The 24,606-nt window shown below is 59.6% G+C and overlaps 1 protein-coding gene across 10 annotated transcripts in view, besides 5 other annotated features; it reads left to right on the top strand.

The window, feature by feature from the left end:
- Positions 1,471 to 24,606, top strand: part of FLT4 (fms related receptor tyrosine kinase 4) — a 48,793-nt gene continuing 25,657 nt past the window's right edge. For 3 of the 10 annotated variants that reach the window (NM_182925.5, NM_001354989.2, NM_002020.5), the window contains exons 1-8: positions 2,169 to 2,281; positions 19,991 to 20,087; positions 20,970 to 21,214; positions 21,432 to 21,544; positions 21,664 to 21,826; positions 21,934 to 22,073; positions 22,342 to 22,510; positions 22,770 to 22,887. In NM_182925.5, the coding sequence (NP_891555.2) occupies positions 2,224 to 2,281; positions 19,991 to 20,087; positions 20,970 to 21,214; positions 21,432 to 21,544; positions 21,664 to 21,826; positions 21,934 to 22,073; positions 22,342 to 22,510; positions 22,770 to 22,887 (1,103 nt within the window). In that variant the 5' untranslated portion in view covers positions 2,169 to 2,223. Of the gene's footprint in view, positions 1,551 to 2,168; positions 2,282 to 5,989; positions 6,903 to 19,894; positions 20,088 to 20,969; positions 21,215 to 21,431; positions 21,545 to 21,663; positions 21,827 to 21,933; positions 22,074 to 22,341; positions 22,511 to 22,769; positions 22,888 to 24,606 lie in introns of those variants that run through there. The other 7 variants (XM_017009268.2, XM_047417002.1, XM_017009263.2 and 4 more) reach the window with 7 other exon arrangements.
- Positions 5,605 to 6,270: an enhancer, noted in NCBI's record as "H3K27ac-H3K4me1 hESC enhancer chr5:180072499-180073164 (GRCh37/hg19 assembly coordinates)". NCBI's record gives its function as "activates a minimal SCP1, AML or CMV promoter by ChIP-STARR-seq in primed H9 embryonic stem cells {active_cell/tissue: H9 hESC(primed)}" and the evidence as "EXISTENCE:reporter gene assay evidence [ECO:0000049][PMID:30033119]".
- Positions 9,399 to 9,555: a silencer, noted in NCBI's record as "fragment chr5:180069214-180069370 (GRCh37/hg19 assembly coordinates)". NCBI's record gives its function as "represses an EF-1alpha promoter that drives an FKBP-Casp9 reporter gene in an ReSE screen in K562 erythroleukemia cells {active_cell/tissue: K562}" and the evidence as "EXISTENCE:reporter gene assay evidence [ECO:0000049][PMID:32094911]".
- Positions 11,168 to 11,814: an enhancer, noted in NCBI's record as "H3K4me1 hESC enhancer chr5:180066955-180067601 (GRCh37/hg19 assembly coordinates)". NCBI's record gives its function as "activates a minimal SCP1, AML or CMV promoter by ChIP-STARR-seq in primed H9 embryonic stem cells {active_cell/tissue: H9 hESC(primed)}" and the evidence as "EXISTENCE:reporter gene assay evidence [ECO:0000049][PMID:30033119]".
- Positions 18,491 to 19,120: an enhancer, noted in NCBI's record as "H3K4me1 hESC enhancer chr5:180059649-180060278 (GRCh37/hg19 assembly coordinates)". NCBI's record gives its function as "activates a minimal SCP1, AML or CMV promoter by ChIP-STARR-seq in naive H9 embryonic stem cells {active_cell/tissue: H9 hESC(naive)}" and the evidence as "EXISTENCE:reporter gene assay evidence [ECO:0000049][PMID:30033119]".
- Positions 19,121 to 19,750: an enhancer, noted in NCBI's record as "H3K27ac-H3K4me1 hESC enhancer chr5:180059019-180059648 (GRCh37/hg19 assembly coordinates)". NCBI's record gives its function as "activates a minimal SCP1, AML or CMV promoter by ChIP-STARR-seq in naive and primed H9 embryonic stem cells {active_cell/tissue: H9 hESC(naive and primed)}" and the evidence as "EXISTENCE:reporter gene assay evidence [ECO:0000049][PMID:30033119]".

Raw genomic sequence — 24,606 nt, 5'->3', positions numbered from 1 at the left:
CACTGTACAGGTGACGCGTACACTAAAAGCCCAGACTTCACCTGTACACAATATATGAATTAAGAAATCTGCACTTATGTCCTCTAAGTATACTTTAAAATTTTAAAAGCACATTCTGGCTGGATGCGGCGGCTCATCCCTGTCATCCCAGCATTCTGGGAGGCTGAGGCAGGTGGATCACTTGAGCCCAGGAGTTCAAGACCAGCTTGGGCAACGTGGCGAAAACCCAGCTATGCAAAAAAGTCACTGGGTGTGGTGGCGCACATCTGTGGTCCCAGCTACTTGGGAGGCTGAGGTGGGAGGATCATTTGAGCCCGGGGGGTGCTGAGGCTGCGGTGAGCAGATATCATGTCACTGCACTCCAGCCTGGGTGACAAAGTGAGACCCTGTCTAAAACAACAACAACAACAAAAAAAAAACAAGTATATTCTGGGCGGGGCACAGTGGCTCATGCCTATAATCCCAGCACTTTGGGAGGCTGAGGTTGGCAGATCAGGAAGTCAGGAGTTTGAGACCAGCCTGGTCAACATGGTTAAACCCCCATCTCTACTAAAAATACAAAAATTAGCCGGGCATGGTGCCGGGTGCCTGGAATCACAGCTACTCAGGAGGCTGAGGCGGGAGAATTGCTTGACCCCAGGAGGCAGAGGTTGCATTGCAGTGCAGTGAGATCGTCCCACTGCACTCCAGCCTGGGCAACAAAAGAGAGACTTTGAGAAAAAAAAAAAAAAGTACATTCTGAAAAAAAAAGCAAAACATATATTTTGATGATAAAATGATAAACAAAAGCAGGGAAATGATAATGCCAGGGTAGTGGGCATCTTCTGGGGTTGGTGAGGGGTTTGTGATGGGAAGTGAGGGGATGTGGGGATGTCATTCTACATCCCTTGGCCTGGAGAATGGAAACACAGGTATTTGTTGCTTTAAAATTCAGGTTTATAATATGCTGATATATTATGTACTTTCCATAAGTGTGTTACATCTCATAATCTTTCAAAGCTAAAAAAAATCAATATATGATTGATAAATACCTAACTTCATGTATCGCTTGGTTACCTAGTTTCCCCAACCTTATTTGTTAAATTATCTACACTATCCGCACTGATTTGTGATTCCAGCTTAATAATATAGCCACTTCTTACCTGGATTGGAGAGAGCTGGTAGTGGTTATTGAAAATCTACTCTTGCTTTTTGGCGAGGATGAAAGGGCTTTGGGGGGCGGGGGTGGGGGGATGGAAAATGTGAATGAAACGAAAAGCAGGGAAGGAGGTTGAGACAGTCATGGTCATGGGCTTCATTATTAAACAGGAAAATTCTAGAGACAAACTGAAAAGAGAACGGAAGTCTGTAAGAGGGTTGCCAAGTCAGAAAGCAAAAGCAAAGTGTCGCTTTATTAAAAAGGTGGGGGCGGGTCCTGATTGAGCTGAGAACAAAACATCTGGGGGAGTTCTAAAGCTAGGAGGCCAGGCCTGCAGGGAGGGGGTCGGTCATCCCGGGTGTCCCGCTCACGGGTGCGGCTTCCGTCGACACTGTCCGTCGACACTGTGCAGGTAAACACTGCTGAACGGGTTTTGTTTTTGCTTTTTTTTTTTTTTTTTTGGCTCCCAGACTGGAGTGCAGTGGCGCGATCTCGGCTCACTGCAACCTCCTTCTCCCGGGTTCAAGCGATTCTCCTGCCTCAGCCCCCCCGAGAAGCTGGGATTACAGGCGCGCACAACCAAGCTCGGCGTATTATTTTATTTATTTGCTTGTTTATTTTTGAGACTGGGTCTCCCTATGTTACGCCGGCTGGTGCCACTATTTTCAAAGATGTAACATACTATTTTTACAAGGATTGCTTTCTTGTTTAGTCTAGATTTTACCGATGGAAAGAAAGGACGGAAAAGAGCGCGTGCCGCATTTTGCTCCCCTTTGCCCACCAGGCTCCATCACCTCCGGAGCGCATCGCGAGACCGTCTGCGTTACCCGCGTCCCCGCGCCCGGAGCCGCCCAGGAGGGGGCCCGGACCCTGTGGTGCGGAGCGCGCACTGCTCGGGTGCACCGGACGCCCCGCGGCGGGCTGGGAGGGACGGGGGGAGGGGGGCGCGGGGAGCGGCCTGAATCCCGGGCCCGCCTCCGGCCCCCGCCCCGCCCCGCCCCGCCCCAGGCCAGCCGGCGCCCGCGCGGACACTTTCAGCCCCGAGCCGCGGCCGCTCGGGTCGGACCCACGCGCAGCGGCCGGAGATGCAGCGGGGCGCCGCGCTGTGCCTGCGACTGTGGCTCTGCCTGGGACTCCTGGACGGTGAGCGCGGCGAACGGGCCACCCGCCCGAGCGTGGGGCTGGCCGGGGAGGGGGTACCGCGCACCTGGGGCGGGCGCTGAGACCGCTCCGCCGGGTACGGGCGGGGGACACGGTGGCCCTGGTGCGCGGACGCCTGAGGGGAGCACGGCGCTTGGGGCGCGGGACCTCGGGATGAGGAAGGGGCGGGCGGGGACCGCAGCCGGGTCAGGGCCAGGGCGGCCGGGCCGCGCCTCGGCGCAGGGGTAGCTCTCCCGGCCCCTGAATCCGCGTCTCCGTCGGTGGCTCCGCGTCCTCGGAGCCGGGCCCTGCCGGGCTGCGCGCTGAGCCCGGATCCTTCGCGCCCTTACTCGCTTCCCCGCGGGGTCCCCGCGCCGCGCCGTCCCGACCCACGCGCGCCGGAGATCCATCCCGGCCGGGCCCCGGACTTGGGTGCGCACTTCCCGACGCCCAGCGCCTCCGCTCGCGGTCGGTCCCCCAGAGGGCGCTCGAGGCGGGCTTCCCCCTCCCCGTGGCCGGCGACGGCGGGGACAGGGGCCGGGGACCACCGCGCGCCCGAGGCGGACGGGTGCAGGTGCACGCTGGCACTTGAGACGAATCTTGAGGAGGCGAATCGCGGGCTGTCAGCGCCGCAGAAGGGGCGGAAGGCCAGGGGTCCCCGGATTTGAGGGGACAGGGGCCTCGAAGGCCAGCTGAGGAGCAGAGGCCCCCGCGGGAGGGTCCCCTGCACAGGAGAGGCGGGGTTCGGTTTGTGTTGGGATGTGGCTCTGGCGGGGAGAGACGCAGACCTGAAGCGGAGGCGGAGGGGTTGGAAAGAGGGACTGTGGGGGATGAGCGGGCGGCAGAGGGAGTGGATGGAGATGTCAGGGAGGAAGCTGAGAAGATGAGCTGGGAGTCCCCACGGAGCTGGTGTCCCTGGAAATCAAAGGGTGTAAGGGCGGGGTCAGGGGTTCCAGTGTCTGAAGCCCTGAAGTCAGCGACGGGGACCTCAACATTTCTGCACGCCATAGGAATTAAATACTGGCTTTACATGCTTGTAATTCTCACAGGGAGTGTCAGACCCATTTTACACATGGAGAAGCTTAGACCAAGGACATGTGTCACTTCCCCAAGGTCCCCAGGAGGCCCAAAGTAAGCCTGACAAAGCCTGCCTTTGCTCACCACCTGTATGTCCACTGGCTGAAGGGCAGAGGACAGGAGAGGGGGCAGGTCTGGCTCAACCAGGGGAGGAGGGAGGAGAACATCTATCTGGGCCTCCGAGTCGGGCAGGCCAGATCAGGGCGCTGCCCTTGGCCCTCCTGGACCCAGCCCAGGACCAGGCTCCCACAGGTGCTCAGGATGTATTTGTCGAGTGGCTGGTAGACCTTGGTTGGACTGCAGGGCTGTAGAATGGGAGACGCTTATCCTGGAGGAGACATGGGACAGGCACCTGGGCGCAGTGTCTGAGCTGGGCTGAGTAGCTGGAGAGGAAGAGAGAGACCCGGGAGGGGAACCCTGGAGGAGGGGCCCAGAGGGCAAGGGGGCTTCCAGGGATCCAGGGAACATTCTGCAGGTATAAGGAGAACCAGGAGAGGCCAGTGTCCTGGTGCTCCCGGGTGGAGCACAGAGGGACGTGGGGTGAAGGGTGAGGAAGCTATTCCCTGCAGTAAGTAGTGACTCTTAGTGACCCAGTTATGAAGAGGAGAGAGGGCATTAGTTGGGCGCCCCATGGAGAGGGGTGTCCTGGGCTGGACCTGGGTTTGGCTGGTGGGGAGATGGCAATGAAGACAGAGGTCATCCCTCCGTGAGCCCTGCACCTTGCTGTACCCCCTGCTAGGCTGAAGACCCCGGGAGCCCCCAGCTTGATGGGGGATGCCATGGCGGAAGCACAAGCCCTCAGCTGCAGTCGGGTGTCAGGGCAGCTGGTCCGGTGGGAGCTGCAGTCGGGTGTCAGGGCAGCTGGTCCGGTGGGAGCAGGCCAGAAGCCTGAGCATCCTGAAGCTGACCCCTTAAAAGTGTGCTATTGATCATAGAACCAGACTCTTGTCCTGCCTCTGCCGTAAAGTCCTTTCTGTGTGACCTGGGCCCCCTCCTTTCCCCTCCCTGCACCTCAGTTTCCCCAAGCATAGCCATGGCACAAGCATAGCCATGGCACAAGCATAGCCATGGCACAAGCTGGCAAGCCCCGAGGTTGTGTGGGTTGTGTGTGCTTGGGCTGGACTCCAAGACCCAGATGCCTGCTGCAGTTCCACAGTCTTGCCCCAGTGGAGAGGGTAGGTCACAGATGTCTCTTGGGGCTTAGTCTAGAGAGAGGCCATTGGCACCTCTGCACTGTGGCTACCAGCTCAGGGACATGCAGGAGCAGGGTCTGCTGGGCATCTGGAGTGGCCTGGTCTCAGGACGTTTGCCCTTGCTGTGACCTGGGTCACAAAGGCCCAGATGTGGACAGATGTGTGGCCCAGGGATGCAAGTCACTGCAGGCAGGATGTGGGGATCAGGCCCACTTTACTTGGGCCTGGGGACCTTCTGCTCCAGCTCAGGGCTCTGAGGACTCGAATGCAGGTGCTGTTCCCTCATCCACCAGGCCTATGGCACAGAGCCAGTGTGGCTGAAGGAGTCCTGAGCCCTCCCAGAGCATAGGGCCCACATGGCTGGGCCCAGACAGGGTACGAGGTGTGATGTGTGGTCTGTCTGGCGAATTCTTCACTGTAACCCCCAGCAGTGGCACCCCGACCCAGGGAAGGAGCCTGCAGTTCTATGCAAGACCCCAGCATAGTGCCTGTTCGGGGTGGCCCAGGGAGGACTTGGACCTGGCCCCATCGCACAGGGGTTTCCTGTGCCTTGCAGGGACACAGACATGCCATCAGACGTGTATTGCCCAGGGATGAAAGTGTTCAGGGGCCCTGGTGAGGCCCAGCTGGTGGCTGTAAGCTGCACAGGAAGGCAGTGTCACTTCCAGCTAAGGGCTTCCTGGTGGGGTCTGCAGAACTCCAGGACAGGGAATTCCAAGCAGAGCAAAGAACCCCATGAAGCCCCAGAGACAGGCAAGTCCAGATGGTGAATGTGGCCAAGTGGGTGGTCCGGTGAGGCTGGAGTCTGGGAGGAGTGGATGGGAGGTAGGGGAAACGAGGCTGGAGATGCGGCAGTGCCAGCAGCAAGGAGGCTGGTGTCCAGGGGAGACAGGAACTGCAAGTGGATAACCCAGGGGATAAACTGGGGTGGAGGCAGGTAGCAGCTGGGGATGGTGGGGACAGAGGAAGTCCCAGGTCTCTGGCTTCAAGGATAATTTATCAAAGGGAGACCCTGGGAGAGGAGCAGGACCTTGGGTGGAGGTAGGCAATGGGATTTCCTCGGAGACCTCAGCTGATGCACCCGGCCAGATAAGGAGGGAGGAAAGTTGGGAGCACTTGAGTATGATGGGACAGAGGGGAATGGGGGAACCAGGGAAATTAAGCGAATCAGCTGCAAGGGGAGGTGCTTCTCTGTGTCTGGCTTACTCCCCTCCTGCTGCCGTATTTTCCTCCACAGGGCAGTTTTCTCTCCACCAAGGCCTAGCCTGTGCCCCACGTCCCTCTGAGATGCCCCTCGGAGTTGGGGGTGGGCAGGGAGAGGGGTCTGGAGAGCCTCTCACACCCCCTAGACTCTGAGCAAGATTCAGTCAGTGTGTCCAGCTGGAGCCAGGGATTCCTGAGTTTCGATCCTTTTCAGACACTGGCTTCCTCTGGAATCTGGGTTTTCCGGTCACACTGAGGAGACAGGTCTGGGAGCAGGAAGATGCGGGCATTCATTCCCGGAGGAGGAGCAGGGCGCCAGCCCTGGCCGGGCTGGACGGGGTAACAGCAGGCACACCCCCGGCCCTGTCTGAGGCCCGCACCACCCTAGCCCACGGCCAGGCCTGGGTAGATCCAGGTGGTGAGTAGGGGAGGCCCGCCACGTGGCCGGCGAGGTCAGCAGGGGTTCATGGGAAAGGACTTGTCGGCCACAGGAGAGGACATCCTGCCTGCATTTCCCTCTTCCTGCGGCAGGAGCTGGTGGCCCCGATTTAGCAGCACTGGGGGGCCACCTCTGCGCCAGCTGGGTTGTCTGATAACGCCGCTCGTCCTGCCGGCCAGCAAGCAGAGCCTTGACCCCACGGAAGCCGGGGAAACTGCCTGGCATAGCTGGCTGCCCCACGGCGGCCGTGTGCTGGGAGCTTAGCATCTGCTCAGGCCCCCTCCTCCTGGTCTCCACCCCCACGGGGCACTCAGGCAGCCCACGCTCCCCGCAGGTCCAGCCCTTCTCAACCTCATCACCACTCCCTGTTTCCAGCATCTTCCAGAAATTTGTCTCCATTCTGCCCCAAAGGGACTGCTGTAAATGAGCCTTCAGGGCCCCCCCCAACTCACCCACAAGATAAGCACCAGCTTCTTGGGCTCGTGGTACCGGCCCTTCCTGCTGGAGTCCCAGGCCATCCCTAGCCCCGCGTCCACCCAGCCTCCACCCACTGCACACACCAGCCCCAGCACCATGGCCTTTCGCCCACCCTGGACGTGCCCTTTGGGAGACTGCTGGGAACTCCGGGCAGACGGTGCTGCTCCAAGCGGAAGGGGCCTTCCGGGGCAGGTGATGGCTTCGTTCCCGCTCACAGTGTGCCTCAGACTTTCAGGTGGGTTTAGGGGAAGCCCCCATCATCACCCAACTCAACACACTGTCCTCGAAGCTACTCTAAATTCTACCAAATGGAGATTGATTTGTTTTAAGCAGCAAGCGTGCACCGGCACATGCACACAGATGTGGCGTGTCCGGCAGTGGGCCACACCTCCGTGTGAAATGGTTTCTCAGATTGCTTCACAGCAGGGCACGTACAGGTTTTAACCTCGTCACGCAGACCTTATTATGCTTATTTTGGAGATTAGGAAATTCAGGCCACAAGGGTGAAACGGCTCTCTAGATAATAGATGGCTCATTTCAGGGGGTTAATAGGTGTCTGACATCTGGTTCCAAATAGCATGGGGGCCAAGCGGGAAAGAAGGGGCAGGCACACAGGCCACTGTCCACATTCCCCAGGGAATGCCCTAGAGGGCTGGCCAGGTGGACTCTTCAATTTCTAACCACCTCATGGCCATTTTTACTTTGCTGTCCCAGAGACCTTTACAAAGCAGCATGTTGCAGACATTTCCCCCAGGTCCACCACACGCCCGGCGTGCCCCTCCGTGCACAGCCTCTCCACCCTCCCGGTACCCTGTGCCCTCTTTCCGCTCACGCCTACACCTGCCCACACATACTATGGCTTCTTTTGGTCCCTTGGATCCTCAAAACCAGCCATGGGTAAATTGCTGGCTAAGTCCAATCCTGGGAATATGCCACGACGAAAAGACACACAGAAGCCCTTGTCTTGAACTAAAGAACCGTTAAGAGCGGGTCATGGTGGCTCACGCCTGTAATCCCAGCACTTCGGGAGGCCAAGGCGGGCGGATCACAAGGTTAAGAGTTTGAGAGCCTGGCCAACACGGTGAAACCCCATCTCTACTAAAAATACAAAAATTAGCTGCGTGCGGTGGCAGGCGTCTGTAATCCCAACTACTCGGGAGGCTGAGGCAGGAGAACTGTTTGAAACTGGGAGGCGGAGGTTACGGTGAGCCGAGACCGTGCCACTGCACTACAGCCTGGGCAACAGGGCGAGACTCCACTTCAAAAAAAAAAAAAACCTGTTAAAAGTGGTAATGAGCCGGCCGCTCCACAGAGCTATGGAAAAGTGCAGGAGTCCTGGGTGGGGAGCCTCGGTGTGAGACGCTGGGGAAGCAGCACAGCAGCTCAGACGTCAGAGGTGGGGAGGGGCTGTTCCAGATCTAGGGCACGTGGAGGTCTGGAGCCGCACCGGGTGGGTGGCAAGGAGGCCAAGGAGGCACCAGATTCTGTCCATAAGCAGCAAAGGGGCAGGGGATGGTTTTAGGCAGGAGAGGGACTTGTGTTCTAGAAAGATCATCTGACCCCTGAGCAAGGACTGGGCCAGTGGGAGACACTGGTATTGCCACCCGGGGGGAGAGCCATTGAGGCTGGCCAGCAGCGGGGAGGGGAGGAGGGAAAGTGGAGGGACAGCACGCCTGCAATGCCCGGGAGGGGTTCTGCGGCCAGAAAGCATCCACGCCAAGCTGCTGTCAGGATGGTGAGGAGAGGTGGGGGCAGGGGCCTGGCACTCTCAGCCACCCCACCCACAGTGCCCTCCTCTTGGGCCCGCTCCTACTCAGTCTGCAAAGCCCATTTCAGCTCAGAATGGAGGCACTTGGTGACCGATTGGCTGTGGGGGATGAGCGGGGTCAGGAATGTCTGGTGGGTGAGCATCACCTGGACAGCCAACCTAGTGGGAGGGAGAGCAGGGTTTCCCACGCTGATGGAAGAGATGATTACATTTTGTAAAATGCAGAAATGCAAATTATACAGACATCTGTAGAATGAATAGTAGCTTCCCTTAATCCTGTCTTCCCAAGACAATATCTTAACGGTCATGTGTTTTGGAATGCGTTAACCTCTGTGTGCTAGCTTTCTATCTGTACAGTGGCAATACGGAGGCAACCGCAGGGGTGTGAAGGCATGTGGAATGCACACATGCGTAGGGCTGTGCTTCACATGGACAGTGCTCGGTGCACGCTTGCTGCTGTTGCAGCAGGAGGTCTTGGGAAAGGAGAATTTGGAGAATTTGCCATCGGTGTATGGATGCTGTTTATCATTACTGTGTGGGTGCCTCCTTCTCCACATTCTCTCCAGCGCTGGGAATTCTCATTCTTTGTGGTACTTGCTCCTCTGGCGGGTGCACAGTTGTGAGCTCCGTGCTTCCAGTCATCCTACCCAGTGTTGGATGTGGGCTGGGCTCGAGGTCTGGGGTCCTCCAGGACTGGAGCCCAGGAGAGCTGTCAGGGAGGGTGAGAGCACAGAGTGGGGTTGAAGCCCCCCGGTGTGCCACCATCGAGAGAGAGAGTACATCCAGCGAGCAGGACAGGGCCCGAGGCCGGCTGGGGACCTGGGCCTGCTTCCACGGCCTCATCACCTTTACCATGCTCCATCTGCTCCATCTACTTGAGGGCCCAAAGTCACCGGCACTCTGGCCTGTGTGCCCGCCTCCTGGGCCAGCAAGCTCCTAATCAGTCTACAATGCCCCTTTCAGCTCACATGAATCCTCTCCCACCAGCGAGGCCCCCATGCTCTGACGACAACACAGGGTCACAGTGATACAGCAGCTGTAGCAAACCAAGCATTCAGGAGGCAGGTGAGAGCAGAGGGATCCGTGTGCATGAGCCAGAGACAGCTTATTCTTTTTTTTTTTTTTTTCACACAGAGTCTCACTCTGTCGCCCAAGCTGGAGTGCAGTGGCGCGATCTCGGCCCACTGCAAGCTCTGCCTCTCAGGTTCACGCCATTCTCCTGCCTCAGCCTCTCGAGTAGCTGGGACTGCAGGCGCCCGCCACCACACTGGGCTAATTTTTGTATTTTTAGTAGAGATGGGGTTTCACCATGTTGGCCAGGATGGTCTCAATCTCTTGACCTCCTGATCCGCCCACCTTGGCCTCCCAAAGTGCTGTGATTACAGGCGTGAGCCACTGTGCCCAGCCGACAGTTTATTCTTAACCATGTTGTTTGTGGTCTGTAGTTCCCAGTCATCCTAGGGCCAATCCACATCTCACAAGTGGGAAGACTGGGGCTTGGAGAGAGGAAGTGATTTGCCCAAGACCATACAGCAAAGAGCGGCAGTGCGGGGTGCCCAGCCGGGCATGCGGGCTCAGCTCTCTCAGACCTGCAGGATGTGCAGTGAGGACCGACAGCCCCTTAAGCTCTGAAGGCACAGGGGCTGCTGGCCAGGTTAGCAGGGGCCACCAGACAGGACGCTCCTGCTGCCTCCCCCCAGGTCCCTGCAGAGGCCTGGCCCCAGGAGTGAAGAGAGGGTGCAGGTGACCCCCTCTGCCCAACCCCAGCTCAGCCAGCAGCTCCGTTGCTCCCCGCCAGCTCCCTCCAGTCTGCAGCCTGGCTTCTGGCTGCCTTTGTCCTCCTGGGCTCAGCTGCCCAGAAAGTGTGTGTCCAGCTGGCAGGCCTGCCACACAGTCCCCGTCTTCCCAAGCACCCCAGGGAGAGGGAGAAGTAGGGCCAGGCCCAGGGTGGCCACCGCAGGGCCATGCTCTCTGCCAATGTGGAGGGGCCCCAAGCTGATGGATAATCCCAGTGCCATCCCTGTGCCGGCTGTGTTGGGCCTGGGGACAGAGCCATGGGCTGATGACACCCCGGCCCAGGAGCCGCTTGATGACTCGGACCCTCCACGTGCTGTGGGTCAAGGCCAGAGTGGGGATGACATGCTCAGCTGGGGGCAGCAGTTTGCCGGGCACAGAGGACGAGGGAGGACAGAGGACACAGCCCAACCGGGCAGGGAGGAGCCTGCTGGAGAGCAGGGGCCTGGGAGGCTGGTGCTCAGGGTGATGGTTGAGAGAGATGGCAAGGCGAGGGCAGGGCTGCGAGGATGCAGCTAGTTCTACCCTCAATCTCTCATGCCGGCCCCTTCACCTCTGCACCAGGACCTGGACCCAGCCATGCCCTGTGGACTCAGCCATCATTCGGAGAGCAGCTCCCAGAAACCAGCTAAGGCCAGCGCTCACCCACACTGCCCCGTAGAGAGGGCCGGGACCCTGTCCCACCAGGGTATGGCACAGCCAGCCCATCTCAGTCCCATCCTGGTGGGCCCAGAGAGGATTTGATGAGAAAATATGGGTTCTGTACAGAACAAGGGACGCAGGACACGCAGGTGTGGAGCCGAGGGAGGGGCCGACTCCCACATCATGGGAGGAAAGCAAGGCTGGCTCTCCCAGCAGCTCTCACTGGGCTGGGCTGGGTTTTCCCTCCGTTTTCAGGAAAGAAGCTTTTGAAAAAAACGGCATCATTAGCTTAAAGGGCTTTGCCCTCAGCCAACTAGGGCATGAAGCCAGATGGAGGCCAGGCCCCAAGGAGGGGTGTGGTGGAGGCCACTGGGGCACAGGGCCCAGGCAGCCATGTGCCTCCTACGTGGGCCTTCCTGCCTGCAGGGGTCTCTGAGGCTTCATGCTAGGGGCTAGGAGGAAGGCCGGGCTGGGGTCTGGCCTGAGCCTCTGCCCCCGGCCTTTGGAGGGGAGCCTGGTCCTGGGGCAGGGACCGACCTGGACTCAGCCAGACTGGGCTCCCACGTGGCCACCTGCTGCTGTGAGGCCTGGCGCCTCAGTTTCCTCACTCGCTGACCTGGCTGTTGAGCCCTCCCTCCCAGGCTGCTGTGAGGATCAAATGAGGCAGTCGCAGCCGGCCGGCTGCCCCCCACCTCGCTCGCTGCTAGTGCCTAACCCATGGGACGTTCCCCCACCCTGCCTGGCCCTCATGGAGGGGTGCCAGCACTGCCCAGGGGAGGTGCAGGACCCTCCTGTGCTGCTCCCACGCCCGCCACGCCTGTGGCTGACGCCAAGGCCCCGTGGCCCGAGGACGGAGGGTGTCCTGGGGCTGCTGACAGTACAGAGAAGAGGAGGTATGCATTCTGGCCTTTCTGACCTCCACCCGGTGCCTGCCCCAACCACGCTGCTGCAGGCTTGGGAGCCAGGGCTTTGCGGGGCCTCAGGGAAGGAAGAAGCCAGTTCCCGGGCCAGGAACAGGAAGGCAGGGGGAGCGCAGCAGAGGCCAGGATGACAGTGCTTCCTGCTGCGGGAAGGGAAGGACAGCAGAGACAGACAACAGCCAGGCAGGAAGGATGCGCCTTCTTCAGGGCTGCAGGTGGGGGCTGGGCAGTCACAGAGCCTCTGGACGTGGCAGGCTGCAGGCCTGAATCTGCCCAGGGAGCCCATCCTATAAAACAGGAAGCATCTTTTCCAGTGGAACAACAGGGTCTGACAAGAGTCTCTGAGGTTTCAGAGGTCTGTTGAGCCATCCATCCATCTACTTTCCATCCATCCAACCATCTAACCATCCACCCATCCATGCTTCACCCATATGCCCACCTTTCCACCATCCATTCATCCTTCCATCCAGCCATTCGTTCATCCTTCCATCTGCCCGTCCATCCATCCTTCTGTTCAATCTACCCATCCATGCATCCTTCCATCTGTTGATCCATCTTTTTATCCACTCATCCATCCGTCCATCCATCCATCCATCCACCCATCCACTCATCTACCTGTCCATCCATCCATTCATCTGTCTGTCCATCCATCCACCCATCCATCCTTCTACTCACCCACCCATCCACTCCTCCACCCACCCATGCATCCATCCATCCATTCATCCATCCATCCATCCGTCCACCCATCCACTCATCTACCTGTCCATCCATCCATTCATCTGTCTGTCCATCCATCCACCCATCCATCCTTCTACTCACCCACCCATCCACTCCTCCACCCACCCATGCATCCATCCATCCATTCATCCATCCATCCATGCGTCCACCTATCCACCTACCTACCCATCCATCCATCTACCCTTGCACCCATCTACCCACCTACCCACCCACCCACCCATCCATCCATACTTCTTCCATCCCTCCATTTTTTTCATTCAACGAGTGTTCACTGAGACTTTACTCTGTGCCAGGTGCTGTGGGAAGCATGGGGTGGGGTAAGAAAGAGCTGTCTTGGTCCTTACCCCATTGAAACTTACTGCCTATTGGAGGACATGGACAGATATAACTTAAACAAACAAACACATAAATAAATAATTCCAAGTTGGGACAGGAAAGATGCCGTAAGCAGCCAGGAGGCTAGGATGGAGCCATTTTGTAGGGGTGAGGAGGCCGTGTCTAAGCTGAGTCCTTAGCGTGAGAAGTCAGCCTGGGGGCACAGAACAATCTGGAGGCAACAGTGGCTGGAGGACGTGAATGTGAAGGGGATGAACCACGAGGGTGTGGAGACAGGGACAGGGACCAGGAGTTTGGATTTTCTTGGGAGTGCAGGGGAATCCAGTGCACCGGCGAGATTGAAGCACAAGTGTGATCAGGCCTGTGCTTTTTAAAGTGTCACTCACTGCAGGGAGCGGGGCCCAGAGGCAGGCCTGGAGGACGACAAGAGCGGGCCCCAGAAGCCACTTTGGGGTGCGTGCAGCTGTGCTGGCCCCAGTGAGAGAGCAGGGGCGGGCCCTAAGGTGCATCCAGCCTGACAGGCTTCAGTGGTCTGGCCAACGGATGGGCTGGGAGAGGATCTGGGGAGAGGGAGCTATCGAGGGAGGAGCCTTTGGTGGGGCTGGAGGGGGTGCACGTCTGCAGTTTAGCATCGGAAACGTAGACTGCGGGTTGTCTGTGGGGTGTCCCAAGTCCAGTGGGCAGCTGGATGCTTAAAACTGAAGTTGCAAACAGTAGTCCTGGCTGGAGCTAGAGACCTGGGAGGTGTCTGGACTCCAGAGAGACGGCGGTGGCCAGCACTGTGTGTTGGGCAGAGGGGAGCTGGGGAGAGGTAGGTCACAGATGCTGCCCAGGGGAGAGCATGCGCGGCTCCCTATCCTGTGTGCCCACTAGGTCTGCAGCCTGGAGGTCATAAGAGCCCCGCCCAGTGGCTCTGTGAAGTGAAGGAGCTGCACTCCATTGGTGGATGAGGGGAGACTAGCAGAGGGGACAGTGAACAGCTGTGGCCATGAAGGGGGATAGGAAAAGGGGCAGTGGCTGGAAGAGAGTGTGGAACCAAGTAATTATTTTGTTTTGTTTTTAAGATGGGAGATGGGCCAGGCATGGTGGCCCACACCTGTAATCCCAGCACTTTGAGAGGCCGAGGCAGGTGGATCACCTGAGGTCAGGAGTTCGAGACTAGCCTGACCAACATGGAGAAGCCCCGTCTACTAAAGATACAAAATTAGCTGGGCGTGATGGCGCATGCCTGTAATCCCAGCTACCCAGGAGGTTGAGGCAGGAGAATCACTTGAACCCGGAAGGTGGACGTTGCAGTGAGCCGAGATCACGCCACTGCACTGCAGCCTGGGCGACGAGCTAAACTCCATCTCAAAACAAACAAACAAACAAAAACGATGGGAGATGATTGCATAGCAAAGACTGGTGATTAGAAGAGAAATCCGTGGTGGGGGGACCCTGGGCACGATGGAGGGCCTGGTTTGCAGGCAGGAGGCATGTCAGAGGATTTCTGAGGCCCTGGCTGGCAGTGTGGGTTTTGGGATGTAGGAAGATGGGGAGTTTTTCTTTTTTCTTTTCTTTTTTTTTTTTTTTTCCTGAGACGGAGTCTCGCTCTGTCCCAGGCTGGAGTGTAGTGGCACGATCTCAGCTCACTGCAACCTCTGCCTCCCAGGTTCAAGCGATTCTCCTGCCTCAGCCTCCCGAGTAGCTGGGACTACAGGCACCCACCACCGTGCCCGGCTAACTTTTGTATTTTTAGTAGAGATGGGGTTCACCATGTTGGCCAGGATGGTCCGCCCGCCTCAGCCTCCCAAAGTGCTGGGATTACAGGCATGAGCCACTGTGCCCAGCCAGTGGGGTGTTTCTGTCTCATGATTTCGCCCTGTCGATGCTGAGAGTGAGAGGGGAGGAGCACCCTGAACTGTGTGCACCCAGGAAAATGGGGGGGAGGAGCTCCTGTGGGGGCCTTGTGCTGCCAGTGTTGTGCTGTTTGGAATGCATGCTGTCTCAGGGTTGGGATGCAGGACAAGAGGGGAGGGAGCATGCAGAGAGGCGGCTGCGGACCCCACGCACCAGGACGGGGCAGCACCGGGAGGGCACCAAGGGGTGGGGAGGAAGCAGTGGGGGCTTTGATGAGGCTGAAGGATGTGGATCAAGAACAGGGGAAGCAGGGAGAGAGACGTAGAAGACAGGTGTTCCGGGATGGCGCGGTCTCTGGTGATGACCAGGTCCAGGATGCGCCCACAGAACTGAGTGATTCAGGAGGAGAAGATGTGAGGGCCGTGCAGGGGGGATCTCAGAGGCCAGGGTGCTGGTGAGTCAGCCCTGTGGATGGTGAAGTCATGGAGAAGGGCAGGAGCTGGGGTGGGGGGGATGGTGAGCCAGGAGCTACGGTCAGCAGAGAATGAGGGGAAGTGACGGGGGGGTGCAGCTGATGACAGCTTTAATGGGGAAGAGGGCGGTGCCGCCAAAGAGCAGGACCCTCAGAGGGACTGCTGTAGGGAGGGCAGGTGGCTGCGAGGAGTTCAGGCATGTGGGGTGGAGGGCAGTAACCGCCCAGGGCCAGTGCCGTGGCCAGAAAGCCAGGCTTCACATAAGGCAGGAAGGGACATTCGGAGTGGACAGTGAGGTCTACAGCAAAGTTTGCCGATCACACAGGGCACAGTGGAAGGTTGGTAAAGGCAGAGGGGTCACTGGAATAAGTTATGGTATGTCATGAAAAAGGAGACATGTCATGAAAAAGCTTGCGTGGATGGGCAAAAGGGTTGGCAAGCGCGATGGATGGTCCTGCTCAGCAGTGATGCAGGTGCTTCCTTTGGTGGCACGGTGCCTTCAGGAGGAAGCTCCTACAGACTCCTCTCCCCATCCACCCTTCACCCATCCACTTACCTTTCACCTGTCCACCCACTCTTCCACCCATCCATCCATTCATCCTTCCACCCACCCATTCATCCATCCACCCACCCACCCATCCACCCATACTTCCATCCGTCCATCCATCCATCCACCCACCCACCCACCCATCCACCCATACTCCCATCCATCCATCCACCCACCCATCCACCCATACTTCCATCCATGCATCCATCCACCCACCCACCCACCCATCCACCCATACTTCCATCCATGCATCCATCCATCCACCCACCCACCCACCCATCCATCCATCCACCCATCCATCCATCCATCCATCCATCCATCCATCCATCCACCCATCCATCCATCCATCCATCCATACATCCATCCATCCATCCATCCATCCATCCATCCATCCATCCATCCATCCATCCATCCATCCATCCATCCATCCATCCATCCATCCATCCATCCATCCATCCATCCATCCATCCATCCATCCATCCATCCATCCATCCATCCATCCATCCATCCATCCATCCATCCATCACCCTCCCATCCACCCACACTTCCATCCCACCACCCACCCACCCATCCACCCATACTTCCATCCATCCATCCACCCACCCTCCCATCCACCCATACTTCCATCCATCCATCCATCCACCCACCCTCCCATCCACCCATACTTCCATCCATCCATCCATCCACCCACCCTCCCATCCACCCATACTTCCATCCATCCATGCATCCATCCACCCATCCACCCATACTTCCATCCATCCATCCACCCACCCACCCATCCACCCATACTTCCATCCATCCATCCACCCACCCACCCATCCACCCATACTTCCATCCATCCATCCACCCACCCACCCATCCACCCATACTTCCATCCATCCATCCACCCACCCTTCCATCCATCCATGCATCCATCCACCCACCCCTCCACCCATACTTCCATCCATCCATCCATCCACCCACCCTCCCACCCATACTTCCATCCATCCATCCACCCACCCACCCACCCATCCACCCATCCACCCATACTTCCGTCCATCCATGCATCCATCCTCTCAGCCACCCACCCACCCACCCATCCACCCATACTTCCCTCCATGCATCCATCCACCCACCCACCCACCCATCCACCCATACTTCCATCCATCCATGCATCCATCCACCCACCCACCCACCCATCCACCCATACTTCCATCCATCCATGCATCCATCCTCCCACCCACCCACCCACCCATCCACCCATCTGTCTGTCCACTCATCCGTCCATTTATTCATCTGGCGATTCATCATTCATCCATCCCGTTTCCATCCATCATCCATCTGACCATTCTTTTTTTTTTTTTTTTTTTTGAGACGGAGTCTTGCTCTGTCGCCCAGGCTGGAGTGCAGTGGTGCGATCTCCACTCACTGCAAGCTCCGCCTCCCGGCTTCACGCCATTCTCCCGCCTCAGCCTCCCAAGTTAGCTGGGCGCCCGCCACCATGCCCAGCTAATTTTTTGTATTTTTAGTAGAGACGGGATTTCACCGTGTTAGCCAGGATGGTCTCAATCTCCTGACCTTGTGACCCACCCGCCTCAGCCTCCCAAAGTGCTGGGATGACAGGCGTGAGCCACCACGCCTGGCCCATCCATCCTTTCTTATATCCACCCGTTGAATCTCCTTTGCACATCTCTGTCTTGGGCTTAGGAAGATGAATAAAATTGAGCCTCTGTTCAGATGTGATCATAAAACCACAGTTCAGTCTGGTTGTGTTCTAGCAGAAGCTCGAAGAGGAGGAGGCTGATGCTGCCTGAGTGATGAGGGCGTCTGAACTAGACCCTAAAGAGGGAGGCCCTCGGGAGGGAAAGAAGGAAGGAGGGATGTCCCAGGAAAAAGGACAAGTGTTCAAGACAGGAAAACAACAGGCACTTTGGGAGGATGGGAGGAGGAGGTCCATGCCTCCTAGGAGAGGAAGCTGGAGAGAGGCAGTGGCTGGAGGGCAGAGGCCCAGCCCACCTTGCTTTATCTTGGGAACAGAGGGGAGCCATCAGAGGAAGCTGGGCTGACAGCTGCCGCACGGTGGAGCTGGAAGGTGTCTGCTGGATGTGCACTCCTGAGAAGGGGGCCACCAGCTCAACACTCCAGACCTCAGTAGGGGTGGCGGGATGTTCTCTCTCCTGCAGTCATGGGGCTGGGCAGGTGGACACTGGCCTCGAGCCTGGTCTCCTGACCTCCCGCTAGGTCCACTGGGAAGGTAGAGTCTATTCATCCGGACGGGTCTAGCCCCATGCTCATCATCCCTCCTCTGTAGCTCTGAGGACAGACCACCACCCACTCCGGTGCCCACATACATGCCCAGCTGTCTTCCTGGCATGGACTTACTTTCCACTACCTGGAAAAAAAATCCCCCTCCTTCAAAGCCCAGCTCAGAGGGATTCCTTCTTAGCCCCTCACCACCTGAGGGGAGCCACCTCACTGCAGGGATCCCCCAGCCCCTGGCCCAGACTCCTCTCATGGCAGCCCCAGGGGTGCAAGCTACGGGCTGCCAGTGCCCAGGCCCCGCTGTGGTGCATGTGAGGGCTTGGCACCCCCAAGGGGAAGGGGCTGCAGAGCCCACAACCCCCTTCCACCTCGGGGCCCCAAGGGAGGGCTGGCAAAGCAAAGACTCGGTGGTAGTCACAGCAGCAGACAGGCGAGGCGCTGCCTTCTGAGGGTGGCTGGAGGGCCTCAGTGTCCCAGTCTGTACAGTGGGTCTGGATGTGTGGTTTAAGGCCCTTCCTGCTCTGGACCCGTAGTGAAGTGGTGCCTGGAAGGGTTTGGCCAGGAGAGAGGGATAGAAGAAGGGAGAGGCCAGAGATCATTGACCGGTGACCACATTGCCCGTGTGAGGCCGAAATGAGATCTTGGTGTGCAGCAGGTGCCGTCCTGGTGCTGCGTCCCAGGGTGGCTTGGGGTCAAGGATTCCCTGGGCTCCACCCCACCCCCGTTAGCTTCAGGGCGGGACCCTGGGGCCTCAGGGAGCTAGACTACTGCTGCCTCAAACCCCAAGGGACGTGTTGGACGGGAGGGGCCTGGGGGCAGAAGAGTGGGCTGTGCCCCCAGGAGGACAGGGACCTGGGGGAGGGACAGGACGCAGCCCTGGGCCTCTGGCCATGCAGCCCTCCCTTCCTGTTGTCTCAGGATGGCCCCGGCAGGATGCATCTGCCAGAGTTCCAGACCCAGACCTCCCCTGGGGCCTGCTCCCACCCACACCGGGATCCCACCACATACACACTCATGTGTGAACACACGCCAGCATGTCCGAGATACACAAACATGCATGCATGTTTGCACATACGCAGGAAGCCACACACACCACTCAGACATAGGCACACACAGACTCACACACCCAGGCCTACAGTTACAGATGCACATGGAGGCACGCGTGTGCACACACACACACACACACACACACACACACACACACCACCTCACGGGGAGGAGGGTGTGGGGGCAGCAGGGCTGAGTCCTGCAGGACAGAAGGCCCAGCCCGGCCAGCCTACAGTCTCTGGCTGATGGTGGGTTTCAGCCAGATGAGGCGGGTTTATTTGTATGTCTGAGGAAGAGCCCTGTGAGAAGACCTGGGGGTGTCTAGGGAGGCCTGGGCAGGGAGAGCCCGGAGGAGGCTGGGGCAGCCAGCAGGGTCTGTGAGGGTGCGAGAAGCTGAGGAGCGAAAGGACACCTGTGAGGTGACACCACGTGGCCTGGGAAGGGGCGAGGCCCCTGGCAGAGAGCAGGCAGGAGGGGGCGAGGCCCCTGGCAGAGAGCAGGCAGGAGGGGGCGAGGCCTGCGTGGTTCGGGGAGGACCTGGGATGTGCGGACCCTCTGGGAAGCAGCGGGTGTAGGGCTGCAGTTCAGGAGGGAGGGCCTCAGGCAGCAGCACTGCAGGGGCCGTGATGTGGAGGTGACACACTCCAGCGCCCCTCCCCCGCTCCTTCATGCCAGCCGCTCAGCTCACCGGGGTCAGAGGTTGGGGTTAGGTCCAGGGCCGGTGTGTAGCTGAGGATGGGGGCTGTGGGGCAAGGCAGGGTGCGCCTGTGGGAGAGGTTCGTGGCTGTCTTGGCGCCTGGGAGCTGGTGCTGCTCACGGCGCACATGGTGAGGCCAGGCCACGCGGTGCTGGCTGAGAACCTGAGCTGCTCCGGCCCTGCAGGGGTCTGCGCTTGCGATGCAGAATGCCCAGCCATGCCCCATCAACGTCGTGCCAAGTCACAGCCCAGCACCACGCTGACCCTGTCTCCCACCCCAGGCCTGGTGAGTGGCTACTCCATGACCCCCCCGACCTTGAACATCACGGAGGAGTCACACGTCATCGACACCGGTGACAGCCTGTCCATCTCCTGCAGGTACTGGGTCCCTCTCCCACTGGCAGGCCAGAGAGGCTGCACAAGCCCAAGGCAGGAGGTGGTGGCTGTGGGCCCAGATGGCAGCCCCCTCCCAGGGCAGAGTCAGGGCAGAGTGGCCTCGGGGCCGTGTGGTCTCCCAGGCTGTGGGTGACTTCGGTCCTCCCCAGCCTCAACCACACACCCCCATCAGCATTTCTTTTTTTTTTTCTGAGATGGAGTCTCACTCTGTCACCCAGGCTGGAGTGCAGTGGTGCGATCTCGGCTCACTGCAAGCTCTGCCTCCCGGGTTCACGCCATTCTCCTGCCTCAGCCTCCCAAGTAGCTGGGACTACAGGTGCCCGCCACCACGCCCGGCTAATTTTTTGTATTTGTAGTAGAGACGGGGTTTCACCGTGTTAAGCAGGATGGTCTTGATCTCCTGACCTCGTAACCCACCCACCTCAGCCTCCCAAAGTGCTGGGATTACAGGCGTGAGCCACTGTGCCCAGCCCACCCCATCAGCATTTCATATGGGGCCTCATCACCCTGCACCCCACTCCTGACACCTCACACTGACCCCAGGCCACCTCCCAGGTCATCTGCATCCACTCCCAGCCACCCTGGGAGCACCCACTGGGGCCCCAGAGATGGGTACCTCCCCACCTTCCCAGCTGTGATCCAAGGCCTGTGCTTGGCCACAGGCCAGCCCCGGGAGCCTGGTAGAGGCCCGGGGGTCGGGGAGTGCCCTGCCCTGGGCACGGTCTGTAGTGTGCGCCCAAACCCTGGGCAGTTCCATGCTCTGGGTAAGACAAACCTGGTGAGGCTCGGCCTGAGGGAGGCTTCTCAGGGACAGTCCCCATGGGCTGCCCTGGGGCCCACCTGACCACTCCTGTCCTCTGCCAGGGGACAGCACCCCCTCGAGTGGGCTTGGCCAGGAGCTCAGGAGGCGCCAGCCACCGGAGACAAGGACAGCGAGGACACGGGGGTGGTGCGAGACTGCGAGGGCACAGACGCCAGGCCCTACTGCAAGGTGTTGCTGCTGCACGAGGTACATGCCAACGACACAGGCAGCTACGTCTGCTACTACAAGTACATCAAGGCACGCATCGAGGGCACCACGGCCGCCAGCTCCTACGTGTTCGTGAGAGGTGAGACTTGGAGGCGGGCCAGGCTGGAGCAGGGTCCCGGGCAGCTGGGGCCCACACCGCCCCCAGCCTGTGGACCCTGGGCTGGCAGGAGGAGAGAACGGGGCCCTACCTGCTCCAGCGGGTGGCTGGTTCAGGACCAGCACCACCCAGCCCCGTGGAGCCCTCCCCCAGCCTGGCCGCCACGTCCCTTCCCCAACAGCTTGCTCCCTCTCCATAGACTTTGAGCAGCCATTCATCAACAAGCCTGACACGCTCTTGGTCAACAGGAAGGACGCCATGTGGGTGCCCTGTCTGGTGTCCATCCCCGGCCTCAATGTCACGCTGCGCTCGGTACGGCCCCACCCCAACCCCAGCATCCGACCCTCCCATCCCACCCCTGGGAAAGGCGGCCGCCTGTCTGGCCAGGAGCAAGGGGCAGCTGGGCAATGATGGTGGCCTTGTCCCTCCAGCAAAGCTCGGTGCTGTGGCCAGACGGGCAGGAGGTGGTGTGGGATGACCGGCGGGGCATGCTCGTGTCCACGCCACTGCTGCACGATGCCCTGTACCTGCAGTGCGAGACCACCTGGGGAGACCAGGACTTCCTTTCCAACCCCTTCCTGGTGCACATCACAGGTAACAGGGCTGTGCCCCGTTCCCAGTAACGGGGCTGTCACTGCCTCACTGGCCTCAGTGGGTGTCGTCCTGTGAGGGCGTGGGAGTCACTGTGTGCGTGTCAACAGGCAACGAGCTCTATGACATCCAGCTGTTGCCCAGGAAGTCGCTGGAGCTGCTGGTAGGGGAGAAGCTGGTCCTGAACTGCACCGTGTGGGCTGAGTTTAACTCAGGTGTCACCTTTGACTGGGACTACCCAGGGAAGCAGGTGAGGTCAGCAGCGCTGCCAGGCTGTCCTGTCCCCAGGAGTCCCTGTGACTGTACAGCACACACTGGGCCTCCGCGTGGAGGATGTGTGGGCCCAGGCCTGCCCCAGGGGCCCCGGTCTGAGTGGCAAGTGTTCCACCCAAAGAAAACTCAGGGCCTGGGTCCAGGGCTTCCGGAGCCACCGCTGGCTGGGCTGGGAGGTGTGCCTTCGGTGGGGTAGCTGTGCAGGAGCCCGCCTGCTGACGCGGGGCTTCCCTGGGTGCGGGCAGGCAGAGCGGGGTAAGTGGGTGCCCGAGCGACGCTCCCAGCAGACCCACACAGAACTCTCCAGCATCCTGACCATCCACAACGTCAGCCAGCACGACCTGGGCTCGTATGTGTGCAAGGCCAACAACGGCATCCAGCGATTTCGGGAGAGCACCGAGGTCATTGTGCATGGTATGGCCTGGGAAACCAGGGTCCTTGTGCCCTGTGGGCCTGGGCCCAGAGCTCACGGTGCCCTTGAGCACTCAGGAGTCCAGCCAGAGGGAAGGGAGGGCCACGAGCAGAGGAGCTGCCCAGCTCCTGCACCGGGCGGCATGGCCAGCCCCAGTCTGCGGATGTCCGGCTGCCGGGGCTGCAGGGGCCGTGGGGGGAGTCCCTGGTCAGTCCACGACGGGTCAGTCCTGGATTTACAGTGACTTCTCCTGTCCGGCAGAAAATCCCTTCATCAGCGTCGAGTGGCTCAAAGGACCCATCCTGGAGGCCACGGCAGGAGACGAGCTGGTGAAGCTGCCCGTGAAGCTGGCAGCGTACCCCCCGCCCGAGTTCCAGTGGTAACAGCCCTGGCTCCCCACCGACCCCGCCGATACCCTTCCAAGTCCAGGGGCAAAACAGACCATAGGGGAAGACGGGCAGCGTCCTCCCCGTCAGGACCTGCACACGGAGACCAGGCATGGCGGGGGCCTCTCTCAGGAGACCCCCCAAGGAACCCGCCCATAATGTGATATTTCAGATGGAAGGTCTGTCTGTTCCTGCCACACTGTGAAAGGTTTCAGTACCAGCCTTCTGTTACATGTGGGTGTGGTGGGCACAGCGAGGGGCTTTTCCTAACTGCCTCCTGACCGCTGGGCCCCTCTCTGCCCTGCAGAATCTCCAGGGCCTGCCCTGCAGCAATGGCTTAGCGTTCCCTATGCCTCCTTTTGCGAGGCTGCCTCTCCCAGGACCCTTCTGTCCAGAAATTTGGAGATGCCACAGGGAATTGACAGATTGCCTGGGCTGGGCCTGTGCTGCACGGCAGCGAGCGAGAGAGCTTCCAGGAGGCCGACAAGCTGCTGGAGTCCCCGCAGATCCCCGATCTGCAAGCGTGTGCTGCGGCCCAGAGAAGGGAGGCCTCAGGGGTGGCCCTGTCTCCGCTGGCTACTCCCTGCAGGCTCTGGGGGGGCATGGCACCCCTCACAAACACGTCCTCAGGCCGTCTGAGTCATCCACATGGCTCACCCACAGTCAGTCACACTTTGAGTCCCCATTGCATAGACGAGGAAGCAGAGGCTAGGAAAGGGTATTCCTAACTGATCGCCAATTCCCCAGGAGGGGTCTCTGCACTGAGCTAGCCCAAGAGCCTCCTTCTCTTCAGCCTGGGCACCTCCCTCCTGGCAGGGCAACTTTTCCTGGAGCTGGGCAAGCAGAGGCCCAGGGTTTCCTCAGCCAGGGCCCCTTGCACTGGCTGGGGGCTCGTCTCTCCTGGGATGGAAGGCCCAGGGTGTCCTGGCCCTGAGCCCAGTGTGACCCTCCCACTGAGGACACAGACTTCGGTGTCCATCCAAGGCACCTGGTCAGTGCCAAGGCCCTTGGGGCAGAGTCCTGAGGGCACTGGCAGATCCTGGAGCCTCACTCACGGGTACAGCTCCTGGAGACCCCTGGGCCCTGTCCCCTGCCCTCCAAGGCCACCATTACTGAGCCTGCTCTGGGCAGGTGGCAGCTCTGTTGCGTCCAGGGTCTACCCAGTCCTCAGGCAGCTGCCTCTCAGAACAGCTTTCCACTGGCTCACTCCTGCCACATCTGGCTCTCTTCCTATGGCAGCCACCCACCCTTCCTGTGGTGCCCACCCTTCCTATGGCACCAGCACATGACGATGGCGAGCACTGACTGGGTGGACGGTCTAGCAAACACACAGATGGGCTGGTCCTTGGCTTCCGAAGCACCCGCAGTGTGTCCAGCACGCTGCTGTCACTGTCCGGGTTAAACCTCACGACAGCTGCAAGGTGCATGTCATCTCCATTGAGGCAATGAAGGAGTCTCAGATCCAGCAAGTGGCAGACTCAGGACCAGAGCCATGCAGACAGCACCACCTCAGTTCCGCCCCTGCCCTGCCCTGCCTCACTCTGCGACCCCAGGCCAGGCACTCCCCCCGGGCCCCTGCTGTGATGTCCAAGTTGAGAATGGGCCCCTGCCTCCCCTTCTCTGTTGGTCTCTGCCCGAGGGCTGTGCCTCTCCCAGGACACAGTGGTGTATCTCTGGCCTGCCACACCCAGCACCAGGGGCAGGCACCTGTC

Source organism: Homo sapiens, chromosome 5, assembly GCF_000001405.40.
Source record: "Homo sapiens chromosome 5, GRCh38.p14 Primary Assembly".
Classification (NCBI taxonomy): Eukaryota; Metazoa; Chordata; class Mammalia; order Primates; family Hominidae; genus Homo; species Homo sapiens.
This window is presented reverse-complemented; position numbering and strand designations above follow the sequence as displayed.